The 18255-nt window shown below is 39.6% G+C and overlaps 1 protein-coding gene across 40 annotated transcripts in view, besides 2 other annotated features; it reads left to right on the top strand.

Annotated features, from left to right (window-relative positions):
- Positions 4861–4950: an enhancer, noted in NCBI's record as "active region_19651". NCBI's record gives its function as "activates an Ori minimal core promoter by ATAC-STARR-seq in GM12878 lymphoblastoid cells {active_cell/tissue: GM12878}" and the evidence as "EXISTENCE:reporter gene assay evidence [ECO:0000049][PMID:35858748]".
- Positions 5151–5490: a silencer, noted in NCBI's record as "silent region_14191". NCBI's record gives its function as "represses an Ori minimal core promoter by ATAC-STARR-seq in GM12878 lymphoblastoid cells {active_cell/tissue: GM12878}" and the evidence as "EXISTENCE:reporter gene assay evidence [ECO:0000049][PMID:35858748]".
- CLASP2 (cytoplasmic linker associated protein 2) overlaps positions 5222–18255 on the top strand; it is a 222010-nt gene continuing 208976 nt past the window's right edge. For all 40 annotated transcript variants that reach the window (NM_001375713.1, NM_001400406.1, NM_001375705.1 and 37 more), the window contains exon 1: positions 5222–5668. Coding sequence is in view for 39 of the 40 variants with exons in the window: in NM_001400406.1 (NP_001387335.1) it covers positions 5474–5668 (195 nt within the window). In the remaining variant the exon portion in view is untranslated. The remainder of the gene's footprint in view (positions 5669–18255) is intronic.

Below are 18255 nucleotides of genomic sequence, written 5' to 3'. Positions count from 1 at the left end.
ATGCATATGCTCTTATCATCACCACCCAGATCAAGATACAGAACATTTCCATCAGTGCAGAAAGCTGTCTCAGGCCCTTTTCTAGTCAATGTCCACTGACTCCCTTCTTTTGTGATACCCACTATTTAACTTCCATCACCGTCAGTAAGTTTTTCCTACATTAGTAGTTCATGTAAATGGAATTACACAATATGTACTCTTCTGTGTCTGGCTTCATGTGCTGAATGTGATTTTTTAAAAGACTTAGCCTCATTGTTGAATATATCAGTAGTTTGGTTTTTACTGCTTTGTAGAATTCCATTGTATGGCATACAATGGAAACCACATTTATCTATTTTCCAGTTGATGGATATATGGGTTGTTTCCAGTTTGGGTTATAATGAATAAAGCTACTATGAACATTCATATATATGTATATCCCTTTTAACCTTTAAAGAAAGATTGTGATAAATCTTTGGCAAGACACTCCCATCTATTCCCCCACCCCCACCCCAGTACCTAACACAATGCCCTTCTTGAAGGATATTTGCTGAAGCATGATTTCAAACCAGCTGTGTGATGATTTATTTGTCTCCTAGCCTTCGTATGGAAAATAAAATCCAGTGGCAGAACAAAGTCTACTCAAAGTTTCCACTATTATCACAAATAATGAACAAATAAGTCAGGAAGTCAGTCTGCTGTATTTAAATGATCTATTTCAGTCTTGTTGCCAGTTAAAAATAGACTTCTGTTCCCAGATAAATTTTAGTGACTGATCATAAAAGAATGCAGATATTTCCTACACCATTTTCTTTTTTAAAATTCCTCCCCATTTTCTCCACCTCCTTTCTTTTTTCTTTTTAGCAGAAATTCAGAGAAAGGCGGGTCCTAAATGAAAATATAAATAAATATTCAAAGAAATACAATATGTTTTGCAAGGAGTGTTATTATTGTGGTAGTTAATTCAAAACTTTCTTCTTCCAATTTTCTTTTCTTTAAGTCTATCTATTTGAAAGACCACAGAAGCCAGACATCCTGGGTTTGAATCATGGATCTGAAATCATGAGTGAGTCTGGGAACTTAATCTCTGAGCCTCAGCTTTCTGCTTGCTAAGTTGGGGATATAATATCTTCCATACAGGGTTGCTTAGAGGATTAAAAGCCCTAACACATGATTAGGCATGAGTCTTTGTGAAGCCCAGTCCTTATTGAATCCATACCTTCTTCCTGCATGATTACCATTTGTTTCCTGTTCTCTTTGTCTCTCTGAAAACTTGGGCATCATCAGGCATCTGTCTGCGTCAAAGTTCCCAAATTGTGTGGCCAGCACCCTGGGGTGCCGAAGCACACACACCAAGAGCACTCCAGGATATTTTAAATTTTGAAGGGCAATGGTGATCATGGGCATTTGTGAGACATGTAATGGCTCCAAGTAGTGCATGGTTTCAATATGAGATTGTGGTACATTTTTTTTCATTGATGTCGTGTCTTTGTATTGTAGCACATTTTTTTTGTTGATGTCATATCTTTGCAAGGCTGTGTTTTTTGTGGTTGTGTTGATTTAAAAAAAATCAATCAAATCTTTGAGCCCAGGAGTTCAAGACCAGCCTGGGCAACAAAATGAGACCCTGTCTCTACAAAAAATAGAAAAATTAGCCAAGCTGAGTATTGATGTGCTCAACTGCCTGAGTATTGATGTGCAACAGGATGAGAATGATGATATTCAGTCTCATTCCAAGGTTAGAGAAATTGGGCAGTAACCAGTAGGCACCGATATCTCATTTGTAAGTGTGGTTGTTCAAGAATGAAATTTAAAATACAATTTTTGATTTGCATATTTTTTTCATATGCCTAGTAAGTTGCTAGGATATAAATACTAAGTTGTTTGGATCTCACCTATTTAGTGGACTTCTTAGGTGTTTCTTTTGGTCTAGGGATGCTGTGAAAAAATGACTGAGGTGCTAGCAATTTTGTGAACTTTCAGCTCTAACAATGTTGAACCTAGGACAGATAACAGTGATATAAATAAAGATGTAGATTTTGTAGTGGGTATATACTGATAATAACAAATGGTTAATCAAAATAGTTGAGACTACATCTTGTAGACAAACATGCAACTCCCCAGGAAACCAATTCTTTAATTAGTTAATTCCTAGTTATCCTCAAAGTTCAATTTAAATATAACCTCTTCCAAGAAGCCTTCTTTAATTTATAACTTTTCTACTCCCATACTAAGTACTATCTAGATAAGGAGCCTCTCATCTAGGTTTCAAAAACCCTCTGTTTACCCTATCACAGCATCTCAGAAATGTTGATTTTCTTGTCCCTACTAGAGCTTGTGGGCAGAGACCAGGTCTAAATGAATTTTGGGTCTTTGGAACTTTGGCACAGTATCTAGCACAATATAGGTGCTCAGAGGATATTTGTTAATGAATTAATGAAACACAGAAAGAATATATAAGTAATAGTGACCAATGTTTACTATTAACTTTATAGGCCAGGTGCAGTGGCTTATGCTTGTAATACCACCACTTTGGGAGGCCAAAGTGTGAGGATTGCTTGAGGCCAGGAGTTCGAGAATAATCTGGGCAACACAATGAAACTTCATCTCTACTAAAAATAAAACACAATAAATGATAATTAATAATAATTTTACAGGTTCTTCCAGAGTTACTCCTAAAGATGATTTAGTTAACTTATAACTTAAAAATGACCTAGTGTGATTTTCAATTTACATTAAGTTCAGAAAGGGAATAGAGACAACCAAGGGTGAAGAGCAGCAGTCACCTTTGGTCACAGGAACAGGTAGAGCTGAACCTAGAATCCAGGGCTCCTGCATTTTTTTTTTTCTATACCACATACTGCACCTGGTCACCAGCAATTACAGTGTAAAGTTCTTCTGGATAGGATCCTCTTTTTATATCTTTCTGCAACCCTTTAAGAACAGAACCTTTGGACACTCAAACCCAAGGAATAGTTACCATAATGTATTAGTCAGGGTTCTCCAGAGAAACAGAACCGGTAGATAGATATGTGGAGAATCATTTTTTTTAATTTTTTAATTTTTTTTTTGAGACAGGGTCTTGCTCTGTCACCCAGGCTGGAGTGAAGTGGCACAAACACAGCTCACTGCAGCCTCGACCTCCTGGGCTCAAGTGATCCTCTTGCCTCAGCCTCCCATGTAGCTGGGACCACAGGTGTGCACCACCATGCTTGGCTAATTTATTGATTTTATTTTTGGAGAGACAAGGTCTCACTTTGTTGCCCAGGCTGGTCTTGAACTCCTGGGCTTAAGCGATCCTTCCACCTCAGTCTCCCAAAGTGCCGGGATTACAAGTGTGAACCACTGCACTTGGCCTAATGAGAGGATAATTATTATAGGAATTGGCTCACACGGTTAAGGGAGGCAAGAAGTCTCATGTCTGCTGTTTGCAAGCTGGAGAACCAGGAAACCTGGTGGTGTAATACAGTCCTAGTCTGGAGGCCTGAGAATTGGAGGACTGATGATATAAGTTTCTGTCTGAATACTAAAGTTTGAGAACCAGGAGCACCCATCTTTGAGAGCAGGAAAAGATGGATGTTTCCGATCGAGCAGAGAGAGTGAATTTGGCCTTTCTCCACACTTGTGTTCTGTTCAGGCCTCAACGAATTGGATGATGTCCACTGACATTGGGAAGGGCCATCTGCTTTACTCAGCTCACCAATTCAAATGATAATCTCTTCCATAAACTCTCTCACAGACACACTCAGAAATAATGTTTTGCCAGCTATTTGGGCATCTCTTGCCCCAGTCAAGTTGACACATAAAATTAACCATCACACATAGTTTACTTGATTGAGGCATAGTCTGAGGGAAATTACAACCAATTAAAGATGGAAGAAACTTTACAAACTCAATACAATGTGAAACACAGAAATACTGAAAAAAGAACACAGAAAACAGTCAATTTCTTTGAATTTTGAGTTTGTTTATTCTTAGTTATTGTGAATATTTCAAATATCAATTTTTGTTGAATTCATTCACTCATTTAACTTAAATTGGCCACCCATTATTTGCTAGGCACCACCCTAGGAAAACACAAAGGTTCCTGGAGCTTTCTGTGTATTAGAAGAGAAAGATATTACATAAATAATCATTTTGTTGTGATTGGGAATAATTGTCAAGAAGATAAACACAGTGTGCTTTTGGAATGTATTAGACAACTTTACCCCCACCAGAATGGCTAAAACTAATAACCCTGACCATATCAAATATTGTGGAGCAACTGGAACTCTCAAGCATTGCTGGTGGGGATTTAATATGATCCAGTCACTTTGGTAAACAATTTGGCAGGTTCTTCTAAAGTTAAACATACAACTTACAAGACCTAGTAATGCCAGTCCTTGGTATTTATTTACCCATGAGAGAAGAAAATATATCCACACAAAAACTTGTGCACTAACCGTTGTAGCAGCTTTATTCATAATTATAAAAAATAGGAAACAACCCAAATATCTACCAACAAGTGAATGGATCGACAAATGGTAGTGATTCCACAGAATGGAAAGCAATAAAAAGGAATGGACTTCTGAGACACCAACAGCGCTGGATGGACCCCAAACGTTATGCTAAAAGAAACCAGACTCCAAAGAAGCACAGACTGTATGAAGTTCAGGAACAGGGAAAACTATGTTACCATGCTAGAAATCAAATTAGAATTGCCTAGGGAAGAGCAGATAATTGGGAAGTGTCCTGGGACTTCCTGGGGTGTTGGAAACGTGCTGTACCCTCACTGGGGTGGCGGTTCCACGGGTGAATACATTTGCCGAAACTCATGAAGTGTACGCTGAAAATCTGTGCGTTTTACTTTAGGCAAACCTAAGTTTTGTTTTGTTTTGTTTTTTTAAGTATTACACAGTGACTGTGGTGGTGGCTGGAAGCAGAAGTCAGGAGTGTATTCTTTTTTTTTTTTTTTTTTAAACCGGCAGTGGGGGCGGGAAAGGGGGATGCCAAGTACTTTCCTAAGTGTTGAATACAAGTGGAGGCAAACTTGGAAACGTTCCACATTTCACAGGGCGAGGGCAGGGTGCCCTGACAGCGGCTAGCAAAGAACGGCCCGCCTCCCAGGGGGCTCGGCCCAACTCGGACCCCAAGTCTCCCTAGAGGTCCTATCGCTCCCAGCGGTTTCCGCAGCCACCTCCACCACCTCCGCAGCAAAACGCTAGCCGGACTGGAGGGCCCTCGCCGGCGTCGTGCTGACGTCACGCGCGTGCTGACGTCGCCCGCGGCCGCGGCCTCTGAAGCGGGCTGGGGATCGGGGGGCGCCGAGTTTGACTAGTTTGGGGGCGGCTGGGCGCTTGGCGTTCCTCCCGCCGCCCGCTGCGCCCCGCAAGCCGCGCCCCTGGCGGGCTAAGTGAGTCCCGCCCGCTCCCGCGGGGACCCGCACTGGAGGCTGGGCGGCTCTCGGCGAAAGTTGGCCGCTCACAGACTGGCAGGCGGGCGGGCGGCCGCAGCCATGGAGCCCCGCAGCATGGAGTACTTCTGCGCCCAGGTGCAGCAGAAGGACGTCGGCGGCCGGCTGCAGGTCGGCCAGGAGCTCCTGCTCTACCTTGGCGCCCCCGGCGCCATCTCGGACCTGGAGGAGGACCTGGGCCGCCTAGGCAAGACAGTCGACGCGCTCACCGGCTGGGTGGGTTCGAGCAACTACCGGGTAAGCGACGGCGGCGAGGCTGGGCTGGTCACGCCCTCCGCGGCAGCCCTTTAATCCCGGACGCGAGCGCCGGGCCGGGAAAGCTCCCGTCCGAACCACTGCTTAAGAGGGGAAACACACTTTGGGAAGCACAGGCGGGCGGATCACGAGGTCAGGAGTTCGAGACCAGCCTGACCAACATGGTGCAACCCCGTCTCTACTAAAAATACAAAAATTAGCCGGGCGTGGTGGCGGGCGCCTGTAATCCCAGCTACCCAGGAGGCTGAGGCAGGAGAATCGCTTGAATCTAGCAGGCAGAGGTTGCAGTGAGCCGAGATCGAGCCACTGCACTCCAGCCTGGGCGACAGAGTGAGACTCTGTCTCAAAAAAAGTAAAAAATAAATAAAAATAGGGGAAACAGGGGGGTCCCGCGTCCCCACTGGGCAGACCGCCTCTTCGTACGCGAGCCGAGGACTGACTTGTGACCACATTTTTCTACACTTGTGGACAATGACAAATTCAGCGATTCCGTGACACGTTGCGGAGTTACTAGGACACAATGTTGATCACTTATTTTGAAAAAAAAATCAGTGAAAGACTTCGACATTTGTGTTCACCTGTGTAAACACTACCCAGACCAACAGATAGGACATTAGGATACGATTTTAGGTTGATGTGTCTTAGTAGATAGGCTAATGCTGGGGGGGAAAAAGTTACAAAGATGAGGTGCGAGAAAGAATGAGCCTTTCTGAAGAGTTGGTGGTAGGCAGGGTGTAATGTAGCCGCGTTGGGAGGCCAGGTAAATATTTTGTATTTAACTTGCCCCGTAGTCGTTAGTAGTTACTTTTCTTTCTTGTCTTCTGGTGGCAGTGTTGCTTTAAAATGCTGACTGCAGCTTCCCATGGATGAAGTGATTCTTCTTAGTAACATATTCTCATGATCCAGCGAATAGGCTGTACTTTGAAACCTTTTATTCAAAAAGAGAAGAAAGACAAACTCTAGAATTATGACGCAGATTTAATGGTAAAGCCCAGATGAGTTTTGGAAAGGTTAGACTTTTTACAAGGACAATAAAGTTTGAGAGTTACCCACGTCGATGCTTCATTACATACCATCTCTTGATTATTATTTTTAAAACGTTTGGGGAAAAGGTAATTTAATAATATATCATTACCATTTGGGAGATTATTTCTTTGGAAGAAACAAGCTAAATTTACTCTGTAAGAAAGGCATATACATATTCACACTCAAGATAGTTGATTTTATGCTACAGCATAGACTGTTGTAGAAAGACAGCGCTTTGGTAATGTTTGCACCCCTTCCGAAGTTAAGATTGGTGTGCCATCTTCTACACGGGCTGTTGTGAATTGGCTTTGGGCCATTTCACTCCTCAGATGTACCTCAGTGAATGACAGTTGAGCAATCACGCTGATATTCTGTGATACCACAGTATGCTAGTTTTCTGTTATGCCTCTAAGCCCTACTTCTACTCGGTGCTGTGTTTTTAACTGTTCTTTAAGAGTTAGAATCCATCAGGGGTCTCATCCGGGTTCTTTTCTGTTTTCACTACGTATTTTCTCCATGCTCCTCACTAGATAATGTAGCCCAAGACAATTTCAGCAGTCAGAAGAGAACTGCCATAGTCTCCCACCACCTGTCTATACACTTCCTTGTAGCTGTGACCATATAATCTTCCTTTTTCCTTGTTAGAATAGATAAATTGCCTGTTTTCCTCATTTATGCAATTCCCTCCACGAAAGTATTAGATTCCATGCCTTCTTGCTTACTCAAGGACATTGATCCATCAATTCTGCTCTCTTTCCTAAATCACTAGTTCTTCCCTTTCTGTTGAATTCTATAGCATAGAAACTTTTCTGACATTGCTAGGGAAAGGGCATTCTAATTAATCTGTTGCTTTAAGTTTTATAAGCTAAGTTACCCAACTGGGTAATCTTTTTTTTTTTTTTTTTTTTTTTTTTTTACTTAAGATACAATAAAACATACTTAACTGTTTTAAAAAGTGTGTCATAGGAGCTTTTGAACATACAAATAGAATCATACTTCAATTTCAGTTTATACTGAACAAAATACAGTTTTTCTTTGAATTGGTAGTACTTCAGAATCTGAGTGTCTTAACAGTCATTGTGTTAGTAAATTTGAGTGCCTCCTGTATGCTGGGTATTCAAGATGCTAAGGATCCATCCAGCTTTGAACAAGACAAGGCCCATTCATTCAGCTGCATTAGGATATTTATCGATGACCTATTATTATCAGGAACTTACTCTTCTAGGCATTGCAGATACAATGTGAAAAAAAGACAAATCCTTGTCTTTGTGGACTTAGATTCTAGTAGGAGGAGAGGAATAAGCAGGAAAGATAAATAAAATGTATAGTGTGTTAGATGGTGATAAGTGGTTTGGAGAAAAAAACAATGAAGGGAATAGGGAATACTAGGCAAGATGCATATGTTGGAATTTTAAATAGTTGGTCGTTAAAGACCTCATTGAGAAGGTGACTTAACAGAAGATGGGAAAGTGAGATCCCTGCCATTGCATTAGAAAGAGGTAGACAGGTATAGAAATTAGATCATTTCAGATAGCATGTGCTTGTAAATCAACATGGTATGAAATGATTATGAGACTCTACTTTGGGTGGTCAAGAAAGGTGACATGTGAGTGCAGACACTGAAGAAACATAAGAGTCAAGAATGATTGAAGCAGAGGAAACAGCAAATTCAGAGACCCTAGTTTTGTTGAGGAACATAAAGCCAGCCTGGCTAGAGTTTAAATGAGTGAGGTGTTAAGAAAGACGAAGTTGAGGAAGCAGCTGTAAAGTCATAGGATTTTATTCTAAATGTGGTGGCAGTAACTGGGCAGGTATAACATCATAGGATTTTATTCTAAATATGGTGGAGGTATAACATCATAGGATTTTATTCTAAATATGGTGGAGGTAACTGGGCGTGGTGGCTTATGCCTGTAGTCCCAGCTACTTGGGAGGCTGAGACAGAAGGCTCACTTGAGGCCAGGAGTTTGAGACCAGCCTGGGCAACATAACAAATTCCTGTCTAAAAAAAAATAAATACAGTGGGGGGTTTTATGTGTGTAAAGGGTGGCTGCTTTGTGGAGAGTCGACTATAAAGGAATAACAGAAGCAGCAGAGAGATAATCGTGGCTAGGCCTGGTTTGATAGCAATGGCAATGCTGAGAAGTGGAAAATTTGGGCTGTGATTTGGTGGTAGATCCGACAGGAGCTCCTGGTGGATTGGGTTTGAGGGTTGAAAGAAAGAGAGGAATTATGGATAATTGCCTTGATTGAGCAGTAGGTTAGATTGTGCTATTTATTGAAATAGGGAAGACTGAGAGAAGAACAAATAAATTGGGTGACGGATGTAAAAAGTTTAGTTTTTACTGTGTTAGGTGTGAGAAGACTGTTACAAGTTGAGATGATAGACAGTTGGGGTCCCAAGTTCAATGGAGAAGTCATAATTGAAGATTCAAAATATGGAAATAGGCATATATGTAATATATGTAGTCTGACATTTGACTTTTACTAAGAACAGTCCTGCAATTTCAGGAGTTCTCAAATTTTTAAATGGCATTATGGCAATAAAATTTGCCTCATAAAATACAGTTAAGTACGATAACCACCATTTACAGAGTCCTTAGTGAGTACCAGGCACTGTCTCAAATGCTTTATTTGCATTGTCTCATTTAATTTTTGAGATGGCCTTAGGAAACCAGCATACTATTATTTTCCTTTTTTTGTAGAAAAGGAGACATAAGTATATTGCTTTAGGCCATAGACCTGGTAAATTAGTGAAGGAGGTGCTTGAGCCTAGGGAGATTAGAATATCCATATTCCTTTTCTCTACTTTTATAAACCTCTTCAATATCCTGTTATTTGCCAGCTCTACTTTTACTTTTGTATATTATGAGGATTAGTAACATTTACATTTCATCTGCAACCATAGAGTAAGTTGACGTTAAAAAATGGAGAAAACACAGCCTGAGCAAGATAGTGAGACCTCATCTCTACCAAAAAATTAGCCCAGGATATTGAGACTGCAGTGAGCCGTGATTGGGCCACTGTACTCCAGCCTGGGCAACAGAGCCAGACCCTGTCTCAGGGGAGAGAAAAAAAAAAAAGTGAAAACATTTATAACTATGTAGCGCTATGTAGTGCAGGGCTGTGTGCTAGCATTTCATGTATTTTCTCAGAATTCAAAATCATAGCCCCTTTCGCATTCTGAGGAGGATTCTTCCCAACATTGGTGTCACCTCAATTATATATCCTATAAACTATTAAGAAATATGCCATTTTTTAGTTTGCCAAAAGAGATGAGGTTTATCTACCCATTAATACATATTGATGTTGCCTATTCCATTTACCTGCCATATAGGTGAACATCCAGGTTGTTTTTAATTCTTTACTCTTAACATTGTCCTTTTTGTCACCTTGTTACATATGCATAAAAAATTTTACTAGGGCAGTGATTCTCAATCCTGTCAGAGTCAGTGCCCCTTTTAATTACCCCTTCTCCCTTTTCAATTCTGAAATAAAATTTATAGATAATATCTGATACACATAAATTTTAAAAACCTCTATAATGTCTTAGCTGTACTATAAAGGACAATCACACATAATTTATGAGGTAAAATATATTTCAACATGTAAATATGTCATACTGACTACCCATGAAGACATAATGATGGTTACATGGTTGTAAATGCTGCCACTACCAATTCAGACCACTACAGGTGTATGGTTGCTGGTGATTCACACTTTCTTTTTTTTTTTTTTTTTTTTTTTTTTTGAGGTGGAGTTTTGCTCTTGTCGCCCAGGCTGGAGTGCAGTGGTCTCAGCTCTTTGCTCAGGTCTTTGCTCTTGTCGCCCAGGCTGGAGTGCAATGGATCTCAGCACACTGCAACCTCCACCTCCTGGGTTCAGGTGGTTCCTCTGCCTCAGCCTCCTGAGTACCTGGGATTACAGGCACGCACCACCATGCCCGGCTTATTTTGTATTTTTAGTAGAGACAGGGTTTCGTCATGTTGGCCAGGCTGGTCTCAAACTCCTGACCTCAGATGATCCACCCGCCTTGGCCTCCCAAAGTGTTGGGATTACAGGCGTGAACCACCGTGCCCGGCTTGACCCTTTCACCAGTGGCATTACTGTTGGTGATTATGATATTCCGGAACTCTAAATTCGGAACCTCATTTCTTTGAACTTGAAGAGTTTTACCACCCCACGTGACATCTGTTTCATTAAGCTTACCCATTAATCATATCCTTACATCCATTCTTTTTTTAAAAAAAAATTTATTATAATTTCAGTGGTTTTGTGGGTACAGGTGGCTTTTGGTTACGTGGATAAGTCCTTTGTTGGTGATTTCTGAGATTTTAGTGCACCTGTCATCCAAGCAGTGTACACTACCAATATATAGTCTTTTATCCCTCAACCCTCTCCCAACCTTCCCCTTGAATCCCCAAAGTTTATTTTATCATTCTTATGCCTTTGATTCCTTATAGCTTAGCTCCTAACTTATAAGTGAGAACATACGATCTTTGATTTTCTGAGTTTCACTTAGAATAATGGCCTCCAGCTCATCCAAGTTGCTGTAAAAGACATTATTTTGTTCCTTTTTGTGGCTGAGAAGTAATCCATGGTGTATGTATACCACATTTTCTTTATTCACTCATTGGTTAATGGGCACTTAGGTTGGTTCCATATCTTTGCAAATGTGAATTGTGCTGCTATAAACGTGCATGTCCCTGTGTCTTTTTTATATAATGACTTCTTTTCCTTTGGATAGATACCCAGTAGTGGGATTGCTGGATGGAATGGTAGTTCTACTTTTAGGATTCTTTAGGGAATCTCCATACTGTTTTTCAGAGTGGACACCAGCAGTATTAAAGTGTTCCTTTTTCATCACATCACATGACACCAACATCCATTGTTTTTTGACTCTTTAATTATGGCCATTCTTGCAGGGGTAAGGTGGTATCTCATTGTGGTTTTAATTTGCATTTCCCTGATGATTAGTGATGGTGAACATTTTTTCATATGTTTGTTGGCCAGTTGTATATCTTCTTTTGGAAATTGCCTATTCATGCCCTTTGCCCACTTTTTGATGGGATAATTTGGTTTTTTTTTCCTTGCTGATTTGAGTTCCCTGTAGATTCTGGATATTAGTCCTTACATTCATTCTTAATTCTATTTTCTGTCTTCATTCTTGTTTTATGGTCCTTATTTGATAAAATGCTATACTGCGCTGAGCATGGTGGCTCACACCTGTAATCCCAGCACTTTGGGAGGCTGAAGTGGGCCGATCACCTGAGGTTGGGAGTTTGATACCAGCCTGGCCAACATGGTGAAACCCTGTCTCTACCAAAAAAAAAAAAAAAGAAATAAAAAAATTAGCCAGGTATGGTGGTGCATGCCTGTAATCCTAGCTATTCGGGAGGCTGAGGTAGGAGGATCCCTTGAACCTGGTAGGCAGAATTTGCAGTGAGCTGAGATTGCGACACTACACTCTGGCCTGGGTGAGAGAATGAGATTTCGTCTCAAAAAAAAAAAAAAAAATGCAATACTGGTTAATCCCACTCAGCCTACCCTATAGCTACACTAGGGCAACTGAAGGTGTTTGGAGAAAAACACAAAACCTCTTTAACTGGCTTCATTTTAAATTCCTGACCATTATATGGGCCCTTAATGCTGCCTGACAGTCATACTATATTTTCTTAGTTCATTCACTCTTTCACTTAAACAACTATTCTACATCTTTTCCTCTCCCCTTGGTCCTACTAGTACCTCTTCTGCAATCATCATTGTCAGCTGAGGCATGTATTGCTTCCGACTTCACTGAGAAAATGGAAGGAAGCAGAATTTCTTTTTTGAGATGGAGTCTCACTCAGTCGCCAGGCTGGAGTGCAGTGGCGTGATCTCAGCTCACTGCAACATCCGCCTCCCGGGTTCAAGTGATTCTCCTGCCTCAGCCTCCAGAGTAGCTGGGACTACAGGTGTATGCCACCATGCCCAGCTAATTTTTGTATTTTTAGTAGAGACGGGGTTTCACCATGTTGGCCAGGCTGGTCTCAAACTCCTGACCTGTGGTGATCCGCCTGCCTTGGCCTCCCAAAGTACTGGGATTACAGGCGTTAGCCACCGCGCCTGGCCAACTCCTCGGTAATTTAAAGTGTTAGAGAGTATCATAAATGCTATTTGTTCTTTTGTATTTTTATTATTTATTTATTTTGGAGACAGGATCTTGCTCTGTTGCCCAGGCTGGAGTGTAGTGGCACGATCATAGCTCACTGCATCCTCCAATTCCTGGGCTCAAGTGACCCTCTGGCCTCAGTCTTCTGAGTAGCTGAAACTATAGGTATGAGCCACTATGCCTTTAAAAATTATGTTTTTTGGCATATAGAAATAAAATGGCATTTGGTATATTGATTTTTATGGCTAGCCTGCTTATGATAATAATTAAAAACATTTTTTATCCAATTTGTGGATTTTTAAAAGGTTTTCTATATGTATATCACAGACTAACAACAGTTTTGCTTGGTTTTGGTGTATTGGCTAAGACCCTTAGGATGAGGATGAATAAAAGAAAGTATGCCTCCTTGTGTTCTGGGTACCAAGGGTGTTTTCTAACATCTCACCATTAGGAATCATGCTTTCTGTAATTACAGAAACTTTACTATGGAGAATATTGAACATACGTAAAGGTAGACAGTAAAATAAATTCAGCCACAAAGCTTATCAGCCCGTGGCCAATCCTGCCCCATCACTGTGTCACAAATCACAGATATCATATTGTTTCATCCCCAGGACTTCCTAGTTACTGTGTCAAAGATATATGTTCTTTTAAAAAAATTATTAATGTAACCTCAACTTCATCACAATTATAAAACAATAATTCCTTGATGTCACATGTGCAGGGTTCACATTTCTAAATCTTTTAGTAAGTTATTTTAAGAAAAATTAGGAACCAAATAACAGCCACATGTTGTGATTCATTAATATATTATCTTCCTATTGCTGCTAACAAATTATGACACACTTACTAGCTTATACACTTATACATTTATTCTTTTACAGTTCTAGAGGTCAAAAATCTAAAATGGGTTTCATTGGGATAAAATCAAGGTGTCAGCAGGATTATATTCCTTCTAGAGACTTCAGGGGAGAATTTTCCAGCTTCTAGGGGATGCCTGCTTTGCTTGGTTCTTGGTGTCTTTCTCCATCTTCAAAGCCAGCAGTATAACGTCGTCACATCTCTTCATCTGACCTGTTCTGTCATAAAATCTCCTCTGACTGTGGCTTTTGGCCTCCTCCTTATAAGTACCCTTGTCTTTAAAAGGATTCCCCCTTATAAGGACCCTTCAAGTAAATCCACACATATATAGTCAACTAATTTTTGACAAAGACACCAAGAATACACAATGGGGAAAGGATAGTGTCTTCAATAAACAGTATTGGAAATACTGGATATCCACATGCAAAAGAATGAAATTGGATGAAATATGGTGAAATTATTTTACACCGTACACAATAATTACCTCAAAATGGATTAAAGACTTAAATGCAAGACCTAAAACTGTAAAACTCCTAGAAGAAAACATAGGGGGAAATATCCTTGACTTTGGTCTTGGCAGTGATTTTTTGGATTTGACATGAAAATACAGGCAACAAAAGCAAAAATAAACAGTGGAACTACATCAGACTACAAAGTTTTCTGGACAGCAAAGGAAGCAATCAACAAAACAAAATGGCATTCTACTGAATGGGAGAAAATACTGGCAAATCATATTTGATAAGGGTTTAATATCCAAAACGTATGAGATGCTCATCTAACTCAATGTTTGAGAAGATACCAACATCAGTAATTGTCAGGGTAATGTAAGTCAGAACCACGATGAAATATCACCTCATACCAGTTAGGATGTCTGCTATCAAAAAATCAAAAGAGAACAAGTATTGGAGAGGATGTGGAGAAGAAAATTGTACACTGTTGATGGGAATGTAAATTGGTACAGCTATCATGGAAAATGGTTAGGAGGTTCCTCAGAAAGTTAAAAATAGAACTACCATGTGCTCCACTTCTGAGTATATATCCAAAGAAAATAAATCACTATCTCAAAGAGATATTTGCATTCCCTTGTTCATTGCACCATTATTCACAATAGCCAGGATATGGAAACTGCTGTGTCCATAAACAGATGAATGGATAAAGAAAATGTGGGGGGTGTGTGTGTGTGTGTATGTATATATATATATATATACATATATACATATATATATACATATATACATATATATACATATATATATATATACATACACACACACACACACCCACACACACAACACATGACACACACACAAAGGAATATTATTCAGCCTTAAAAAAGAAGGAAATCCTGCCATTTGTGACAACATGGATGAACCTGGAAGACATTATGCTAAGTGAAATAAGCCAGACACAGAAAGACAAATATGGCATGATCTTACTTTTATGTCAAATATTTAAAAAAAAAAAAAAGTCAAATTTATAGATAGTAACAGAATAGAATATAGAATGGTGATTACCAGGGGTTGGAGGATGTGGGAAAAGGGGAGGTATTGGTCAAAGGGTACATGCTTTCTGTTATACGATGAGTAAGTTCTGGAAACCTAATGCACAGTATGGTGACTATAGTTAATGTATATTGTACTTGAAATTTACTAAGAGCGTAGATGTCACGTTCTCACCACAAAACAGATGGGGAAGGAGGAGCCCCTAGTGATACCTTTAGGCCTAGGATAATCCAGAGGAATTTTTCCCTCTGAAGATCCTTAATTATATCCACAGAGTCCCTTTTGCCAAGTGTGATACCATATTCAGAGGTTCTGGGAGTCAGGATGTAACGCCTTTGTGAGGTTATTATTCTGCCTGCAAGAGTCAACATATTTATTAAGTCTCTTTTAATGTTTCCCCCTCAGTCTCTATTTAAAAAAATTCTTGAGTTTTATTTGTGTAGATTTTCCCACAGTCTGGATCTTGCCGGTTTCATTCGTGTAATGATGTTTGACTGTTCCATCTGTTTTTCCTGTAAATTGGTAATTTAGTTAGATCTAAAACTTAAATTGAGTCCTTTTTTGTGGGGCAGGGAGGCAAGACTATTTAATAGGAAATACTCTCCTTTCATCTCCTTCCTGGAGACACATGAGATATGGAAGGCACACAAGCTCTAGGTCTCTTTTTTGTGTGTGTGTGATGTTAGAGGCCATTAACGTTCAGTGTCTAGATCTGTTAATTCATTAGAGTTTGCAAAATGGTGATATTTGAATTCTGTTATTTCTTCATTTATTGGCTGGAATAGTTTTATAAGGAGAAACTTTCCCCATTTACAGTTATTTGATTACCTAGTGATATGGTTTATATAGAATGGTAGGTATATTGCTATGATTCTTTCCATTTACTTACTAATTGTGAAAACAATGGTTTTTTTAGTGTCCTTCAAATGTTTGTTTTTGTTTTCATATAATTATGAACTCATATATTTAAACATATCTAATGTGTTTCAAGACAGTGCAGTTACTATCCTTTTTGATATTCAAACTGTCCTATCTTGACATGACCCTAGTAATCTTTGACTGCTTCTTTGCTGTCTGGTATCACAAGATGTATTTCCTGCTCCAACTGGGGAATGAGCCACCTCTCCAAGAAGCTCTTGATCTTTTTTTCATGGGAAGAGGTGCCTGGAAACTGCAATGTGGTGCTAGTGGTATTCATGTTCCTTGTTTGGTCATTGTTTCTAGATTTATTCAATGGACAGAGTTAGATTTTATTTTATTTGGTTTATTTTTATTTTTTGAGACAGGGTCTCTCTCTCTCTTTGTTGCCTAGTCTGGAGTGCAGTGGCATAAACACAGCTCACTGCAGCCTCAACCTCCTGGGCTCAAGCAGTGCTCTTATGTCAGCCTCCCAACTAGCTGGGACTACAGGCGCACACCACCATGCCCAACTAACTTTAAAATTTTTTTTTCTAGAGATAGGGTCTCCCTATGTTGCCCAGGCTGGTCTCGAACTCCTGGGCTCAAGCATTCCTCCCGTCTTGGCATCTCAAAGTGCTGGGATTACAGGCATGAGCCACTACACCTGACCTAGATTTTATTTTAATTTTAAAGAAAAATATGTCATGAGTTCATACTGATATTTCTAATTCAGATTTAAGACTACAGTTTTTACTTCTGTCTTCTGTCTGTATCTTTTTTCTGTCAACAACAATAAGATTTATAAAGACTGTTAACTGTATTTTTCAGAGTTTTGTTTTTGTCTGTAGGATATGTCCCATTGACAAGATAGAGCCAAATTACTGTGTTTCAAGTCACTTGAAAATAGTCTTTTGTGTGGTTATGCTACTAACTTGATGTAAATTTAGATTCATTTATTTTATTTCATTTTCAAAATAGTTGTTGCTAAAAGAAGATATCTTCAAATAACTCTAGTTTCTTTCTCTGTTCCTTGTATCCTGTTCTCACCGTTAAAACTTTATTTTCCATCATTGTGTCTTTGTGTGTTTTTTGTGTGTTTTTTGGGAGAGGATCTCACTCTGTTGCCCAGGTTAGAGTGCGGTGGCACCATCATGACTCACTGCAGACTTGACGTCCCGGGCTCAGGTGATCCTTCCACCTCAGCCTCCCCAGCAACTGGGACCACAGGCGCATGACACCATGCCTAATTTTTTATTTCTTGTAGAGATGGGGTCTTGCCATGTTGTGCAGGCCGGTATCAAACTCCTGGGCTCAGGTGATGCTTCCACCTTGACTTCCCAAAGTTCTGGGATTACAGGCATGAGCCACCGCACCCAGCCATCATTGTTTTTTATAAACATTTATGTCTGTCTATATCTATTTAATTCCCCTTTTTTTGATATACATACTTTTCCCAACTTTGCTTTTTTCACTTAACAGTATACTGTGGAAATCATTGCATAGCAGAATTAGGGTAGTCTTCATTTTTATTTTTAAAGTGTCATAGTATCCTGTAGTGTGGATACACCATGGTTTACTGAATCTGTCCCATATTGATGAATGTTTGGATAGTTTCCAGTCTCTTGTAGTGAATAATTTTTGCATGTCTTTTCATAATTTTACTTGTATATCTTGGGGATAGATTCCTAAGTATATTCTTAAGAGTACACATTTTTTCCTGCTTATTTGAGATACTGCTTGGCTCATATATGTGTAATTGAGTCTATTTTGGATTTTAAATTTTAACAGCTCTATTGATATCTCATTCTGTATAATTCACTCATTTGAAGTGTATATTACATTGATTTTGTAATAGCTACAGGTTTGTGCACCCATCACCACAGTAAATTTTAAAACATTTTCATCACCTCCAAAAGAACTCTTTACCTTTTAGCTATTATACCACCCTCCATACCCACCCCAACCTAGTCCTAAGCTACCACTATTCTACTTCTTATCTTTATAGATTTACCTATTGTAGACATTTCTTATAAATTGAACCATATAACATGTAGCCTCTTGTGACTAGCTTCATTGAACTATGATATTTTCAAGGTTAATCTATGTTATAGCATGTATCAGCCATTCGT

This window comes from Homo sapiens, chromosome 3 (assembly GCF_000001405.40).
Source record: "Homo sapiens chromosome 3, GRCh38.p14 Primary Assembly".
NCBI classification, from domain to species: Eukaryota; Metazoa; Chordata; class Mammalia; order Primates; family Hominidae; genus Homo; species Homo sapiens.
The sequence above is the reverse complement of the archived record's forward strand: the minus strand, read 5'-3'. Positions and strand labels throughout refer to the sequence as shown.